We start from the raw sequence: 7,721 nt of genomic DNA, 5'->3' as shown, positions 1-7,721 counted from the left end.
ATCAGAGCAGAACTAAATGAAATTGAAACAAACAGCCAAATAAAAAAATACAAAAGATAGATGAAAAGAAAGCTAGCCCTTTGAAAAGATAAATAAAATTGAGAGACCATTAGCAAGATTAACCAAGAAAAGAAGAGAGAAAATCCAAGTAAGCTCAGGAAGAAATGAAATAGAAGATATACAACTGACACCACTGAAATACAAAAGAACATCCAAGGCTACTATGAACATCTTTACACACATAAACTAGAAAACCTTGAAGAGATGGATAAATTCCTGGAAAAATACAACCTCCTAGCTTAAATCATGAAGAATTAGACCCTGAACAGATCAATAACAAGCAGTGAAATTGAAATGGTAATTTTAAAAATTACCAACAAAAAAAAGTCCAGGACCAGATGGATTCACAGCAGAATTCTACCAGACATACAAAAAAGAATTGGTATCAATCCTTTTGACACTATTCCACAGGAAAGAGAAAGAAGCAACCCTACCTAATTCATTCTATGAAGCCAGCATCACCCTAATACCAAAACCAGGAAAGGACATAACCAAAAAAGAAAACTACAGACTGATGTCCTTGATGATCATAGATGCTAAAATCCCTAACAAAATGCTAGCTAACTGAACCCAACAACAAATCAAAAAGATGATCCACCATGATCAAGTGGGTTTCAAGTCAATAAATGTGACACACTACATAAACAGAATTAAAAACAAAAATCACATGATCATCTCAATACTTACAGAAAAAGTTGTCAACAAAATCCAGCATCCTTTTTGATTAAAACTCTCAGCAAAATTGGCATACAAGGGACATACCTTAATATAACAAAAGTCATCTATGACAAACCCACAGCCAACATAATACTTAATGGGGAAAAGTTGAAAGCATTCCCTCTGAGAACTGGAACAAGACACGGATGCTTACTCTCACCACTCCTCTTCAACATAGTACTGGAAGTCCTAGCCAGAGCAATCAGACAAAAGAAAGAAAAAAAGGGCATCCAAATTGGTAAAGAAGAAGCCGGGCTGTTACTGTTTGCTGATGATATGAAAACCCTAAGGACTTCTCTAGAAAGCTCCTGGAACTGATAAAAGAATGCAGCAAAGTTTCGGGATACAAGATTAATGTACACAAATCGGTAGCTCTTCTATATACCAACAGCGACCAAGCAGAGAATCAAATGAATAACTCAACCCCTTTTACAATAGCTGCTAAATAAATAAATAAATAAATAAATAAATAAAATACTTAGGAATATACCTAACAAAGGAGTCGAAAGACCTCTACAAGGAAAACTACAAAACACTGCTAGAAGAAATCATAGATGACACAAACAAATGGAAACACATCACATGTTCATGGATGGGTAGAATCAATATCGTGAAAATGACCATACTTCCAAAAACAATCCACAAATTCCATGCAATCCCCATCAGAATACCACCATCATTCTTCACATAATTAGTAAAAACAATTTTAAAATTCATATGGAACCAAAAAAGAGCCCCCATAGCCAAAGCAAGACTAACCAAAAAGAACAAATCTGGAGGCATCACATTACCTGATTTCAAACTATACTATAAGGCCATAGTCACCAAAACAGCATGGCACTGGTATAAAAAATAGGCACATAGGCTAATGGAACAGAATAGAGAACCCAGAAAAAAACTCAAAAACTTACAGCCAGCTGACCTTTGACAAAACAAACAAAAACATTAAGTGGGTAAAGGACACCCTTTCCAACACATGGTGCTGGAATAATTGGCTAGCCACATGTAGGAGAATGAAACTGGATTCTTATCTCTCACCTTATACAAAAATCAACTCAAGATAAATGAAGGACTTAAACCTAAGACCTGAAACTATAAAAATTTTAAAAGATAATGTTGGAAAAACTCTTCTAGACATTGGCTTAGGCAAGGAGTTCATGACCAAGAACCCAAAAGCAAATGCAATGAAAACAAAGATAAATAAATAGCTGGGACCTAATTAAACTAAAGAGTTTTTCCACGGCAAAAAGAACAGTCAGCAGAGTAAACAGACAACCCACAGAGCAGGAGAAGAATCTTCACAATCTATATATCTGACAAGGACTAATATCCAGAATCTACAACAAACTCAAACAAATAAGTTAAGAAAAACTCAAACAGGCTGGGCGCGGTGGCTCATGCCTGTAATCCCAGCACTTTGGGAGGCCGAGGTGGGCAAATCATGAGGTCAGGAGATGGAGACCATCCTGGCTAAGATGGTGAAACCCCGTATCTACTAAAAATACAAAAAAGTTAGCTGGGTATGGTGGTGGGTGCCTGTAGTCCCAGCTACTCATAAGGCTGAGGCAGGAGAATGGCATGAACCCGGGAGGCGGAGGTTGCAGTGAGCCGAGATCACACCACTGCACTCCATCCTGGGTGACAGAGCAAGACTCCATCTCAAAAAAAAAAAAAAAAAAAATCAAACAATCCCATCAAAAAATGGGCTAAGGACATGAATAGACAATTCTCAAAAGAAGATACACAAATGGCCAACAAACATATGAAAAAATGCTCAACATCACTAATGATCAGGGAAATGCAAATCAAAACCGCAGTGTGACACCACCTTACTCCTACAAGAATGGACATAATCAAAAAATCAAAAACCAATAGATGTTGGTGTGGATGTGGTGAACAGGGAACACTTCTACACTGCTGGTTGGAATGTAAACTAGTACAGCCACTATGGAAAACAGTTGGAGATTCCTTAAATAACTACAAGTAGAACTACCATTTGATCCAGCAATCCCACTACTGGGTATCTACCCAGAGGAAAAGAAGTCATTATTCGAAAAAGATACTTGCACACACGTTTATAGCAGCACAATTAACAACAGCAAAATTGTGGAACCAACCCAAATACCCATCAATCAATGAATGTATAAAGAAACTGTGAGATATATAGATAGATAGATAGATGTTATCTATATACATGTATATACACATATGTATCTATATATATATGATGGAATACTCCACAGCCATAAAAAGAAATGAATTAATAGCAATTGCAGTGACCTGGATAAGATTGGAGACTATTATTGTAAGTGGTGTAATGTAATTCAGGAATGGAAAACCAAACATCATATGTTCTCACTGATATGTGGGAGCTAAGCTATGGGGATTCAAAGACATAAAAATGATATAATTTGGGGGAGTTTGGGGACTTGGGGGGAAGAGTGGGAGGGGGCAAGGAATAAAAGACTACAAATAGTGTGCAGTGTATACTGCTCAGGTGATGGGTGCACCAAAATCTCACAAATCACCACCAAATAACTTACTCATGTAACTCAATACTACCTGTACCCCAATAACTTATGGAAAAATAAAATTAAAATTAAAAACTAAATATTAAAAACGATTACTTTCATTTGCAAAAAAAATTTATGTGGAATGTATTATTTCAAGTATAAACTTTCTGTACTAAAATGTTACCTTTAAAAATCTCAACAAGAGGTAATTTGTGCTTTACAAAACCCTATTGGAATCCTTTTATTGTCCTTCACAATTCAGAATTGTTTTCAGAATTTTAAATTCAAATGCATAAAACAGTTATAAGTAGATACTGGCAGATTTTTTAAAAACTTTATTTTCAGTACTGATTTTGTTATCTATCAGAGTACAAGCACATCTTGTTTTATTACTCTTCATTCATTTTATTGCACTTTGCAGATATTGCATTTTTAACAAAGTGAACATTAGTGACAACCCTGCTTTCAGCAAGCCTATCAGTGTAATTTTTCCAATAGCATGTACTCACTTCATGTCTCTGTGTCACGTTTTTGTCATTCTCTCAATACTTCTAACTTTCTCATTATTATTTGATGTGTTATGGTGATAAGTGATCAATGATCTTTGATATTACTATTGTAATTCTTGTGAGGAACCATAAACCACACCCATATAAGATGGCAGCTGAATCCATAAATGTTGTATGTTTTCTGACTGCTCTGCCGACCAGCCATTTCCCATCTCTCTTTCTCTCATTGGGCCTGCCCATTTCCTGAGACACAAAAATATGGAAATTAGATCAGTTAATCCCACAATGGCCTCTAAGTGTTCAAGTGAAAAAAAGAGTAGTTACACAGCTTTCACTTTAAATCAGAATTTAGAAGTGATTAAGCTAAGTGAGGAAAACATGTCAAAAGCAAAGATAGACAAAAACCTAGGCCTCTATGCCAAACAGTTAGCCAACTTGTGAATGCAAAGGAATAGTTCTTGAAAGAAATTAAAAGTGCTACCTCAGTGAACATACGAATGTTAAGAAAGCGAAGTAGCCTTGTTGTTGATTGGGAGAAAGTTTTAGTGGTCTGGATAGAAGATCAAACGAGCCACAACATTACTTTGAGCCAAAGCCTAATCCAGAGCAAGGCCAAAACTCTCTTCAATTCTACAAAGGCTAAGATAGATGAAGAAGTTGCAGAAGAAAAAAATTGAACCCAGCAGAGGTTGATTCATGAAATAAGGAAAGAAACCACCTCTATAATACAAAAGTGCAAGGTGAAGTAGCAAGTGCTGATATAGGAGCTGTAGTAAGTTATCCAGAAGATCTAGCTAAGATAATTGATGAAGGTGGCTACATTAAAACCACAGACTTTCAATGAAGGCATAACAGCTTCCTGTTGGAAGGAGATGCGATCTACGACTTTCATAGCGAGAGAGAAGAAGTCAATGCCTGACTTTAAAGCTTCAAAGAATAGGCTGACTCTTGCTAGAGGCTAAGGCAACTGGTGACTTTAATTTGAAGCCAATACTCATTTACCATTCTGAAAATCCTAACACCCTTAAGAATTATGCTAAATCCACACTGCCTGTGCACTATAAATGGAACAACAAAGCCTGGATGACAGCGTATCTGTTTACAGCATTGTTTATGGATCTTAAGCCCCCTATTGAGAACTATTGCTTATAAAAATAAATTCCTTTCAAAATATTATTGCTCATTGACCATGTACCTAGTCACCCAAGAGCTCTGATGCAAGAAGATCAATGTTGTTTTCATGCCTGCTAACAAAACATCTATTCTGCAGTCCATGAATCAAGGAGTAATTTCAACTTTAAAGTCTTATTATTTAAGAAATACATTTCAAAAGGCTATCATTGCCATCAATAATGATTTCTTCTGCTGGATCTGGGTAAAATAAATTGAAAACCTTCTGGAAAAGAGTCATCATTTTAGATGCCATAAATAACATTCAAGAATCACAGGAGGAGGTCAAATATCAACATTAACAAGAGTTTGGAAGAAGTTCATTACAACCCTTATGGATGACTTTGAGGGGGGTCAGGACTTCAGTGGAAAAAATAACTGCTGATGTTGTGGAAATGGCAGAAGAACTAGAATTAGAAGTGGAGGTTGAAGATGTGATTGAATTGCTGCAATCTTACAATAAAACTTTAGTGAATGGGGAGTTGCTTCTAGTGAAGAAGCACAGAAAGTGGATTCTTGAGATGGAATCTACTTCTGGTGAAGATGCTGTGAATATTGTTGAAGTGACAACAAAGGACTTTGAATATTATATCAATTTAGCTGAGGAAGCAGCTGCAGACTTTGAGAGGATTGACTTCAATCCTCTTTACAGAAAGAAGCTCTACAGTAAGTAAAATGCTATCAAGCAGCCTTTTTAAGTAGAGTGTTGAAAGCTCCTGTAGACCCACTCCATCTGCTTGGGACATGAATCCTCCCTTTGTTCAGCATATCCATGCTGTCCACTACCAGCCTGCTAGTCACCTAGTAGCCATATGGGATATTAGATCAACTGTTGTGGTATTGCAGACCTTGTGTTCAAGTCACCCTTATTTTACTTAATGGTCCCAAAGAGCAAAAGTAGTGATACTCGCATGTTGTTAAAATTTTCCTGTTTTATTATCCATTACTGTTATGAATCTTTTACTATGATTAATTCATAAATTAAACTTTATCCTAGATATGTATGTATAGAAAAAACCATAGTATGTACAGGGGTTGGTACTACGCAAGATTTTGGACATCTGCTGGAGGTATATATCTCCTGTGAATAAAGGGGAACTACTATATTACCAAGAAGTATTATCAAACTTCTCTCCAAATTATTTCATTATAACCAGCTTTAAAATAAAATCAGAGAGTATTAGGTTGCATTTTAAAATTTATTGGAAATACTTGAGGTAATAAGTGAATAACCATAGCCAGATTCACCAAAGCACTTGAATACAGCATCCTCTTAGAATAGATGCACAGTGCACAGTGAAATAACAAGTAGGATTTTCAGGTAACATCGAGGAAATTGAAAACTAAATGTGGGTCTAGTAGACTTAGTAACCACAAATCTATCCAACAATAGTTGGAGAAGATAAATATATTTGCTTACAAATGCAAATAAAGTTGGTTTAATCATAATTGTGTACACAGTATTCTACTAGATATACTGGGGGATTCATACAGATTTGAAACCCAGTTTAGATTCTGCTAATAAACCTCAATAACTGTGTGAAGAAGGTTTTTCTGGGTATGAAAACTTTGCTGTACTCTTCAGTGGAACTTGCATAGGGTTTGGGGTTATGCAGAACAGTGACAGAAAAAGAGGCACCTGCTTAGCCATTCAGTTTTAGCCAAATCAGCCCTGACAATCTACAGCCAGATTGCCCCCACAGCTGTCATTTTGGCTAAAATTAAATATGAATAACTGGAAAACATTACAATATGTTCTCCCCTGGCCCCAGCTTACTTAAGGTATAATTAACAAAAAATGATATATATTTAAAGTGTACAACGTGACATGTTTATATATGCATACATTGTGAAGTTATCACCACAATCAAGCTAATGATTATATCCCTCACCTCACACTGTGTGTGTGTGTGTGTGTGTGTGTGTGTGTGTGGTGATGTGTGTGATGAGAATATCATACATCTATACTCTTAGCAAAGTATACAATACATTGTTATTACCTATAGTTACCTTGTTATACATTGTCTCCATAATTTATTCATCTTCTAACTGAAAGTTTATACCCTTTGACCATCATCTCATTTCTCCCAACCCTGGACCCCTAGTAACTACCCTTCTACTCTCTTTTACCATGAGTTCAACTTTTTTAGATGCCACATGTAAGTGAGATCATGGAATAGTTCTCCTTCTGTGTTTGCCTTATTTTACTTAGCATAATGTCCTCTAGCTTTATCTATATCATTGCAAGTGGCAGAACTTCCTTCTTTTTAAGGCTGACTAATATTCCATTGTAAATATATATATATACTATACTATGATATATATATTCAATGAACATGAGAGTGCAGATATCTCTTCAAGATAATGATTTCATTTCCTTTGGGTATACAGGCTGAGCATCCCCAATATGAATATCCAAAATTCAAAATACTCCAAAATCAGAAATTTGTTGAGTGTTGACATGATGTCACAAATGGAACATTTGACAGCTAACTTAAATGACAGTTCACAGTCAAAAATTTGTTTCATGCATAAAATTATTTAAAATATTATATAAATTACCTTTATGCTGTGTGTATAAGGTGTATATGAAACATAAATGAATTTCATATTTAGACTTCGGTCCCCTCTGCAAGATATTTCATAATGTATATGCAAATATTCCAAAATCCAAAATAGTTCAAAATCTGAAACACTTTTGGTCCCAAGCATTTTGGGTAAAGGATACTCAACCTGTATATCCAGAAGTAGG

Source organism: Homo sapiens, chromosome 1 (genome assembly GCF_000001405.40).
Source record: "Homo sapiens chromosome 1, GRCh38.p14 Primary Assembly".
Classification (NCBI taxonomy): domain Eukaryota; kingdom Metazoa; phylum Chordata; class Mammalia; order Primates; family Hominidae; genus Homo; species Homo sapiens.
The sequence above is the reverse complement of the archived record's forward strand: the minus strand, read 5'-3'. Positions refer to the sequence as shown.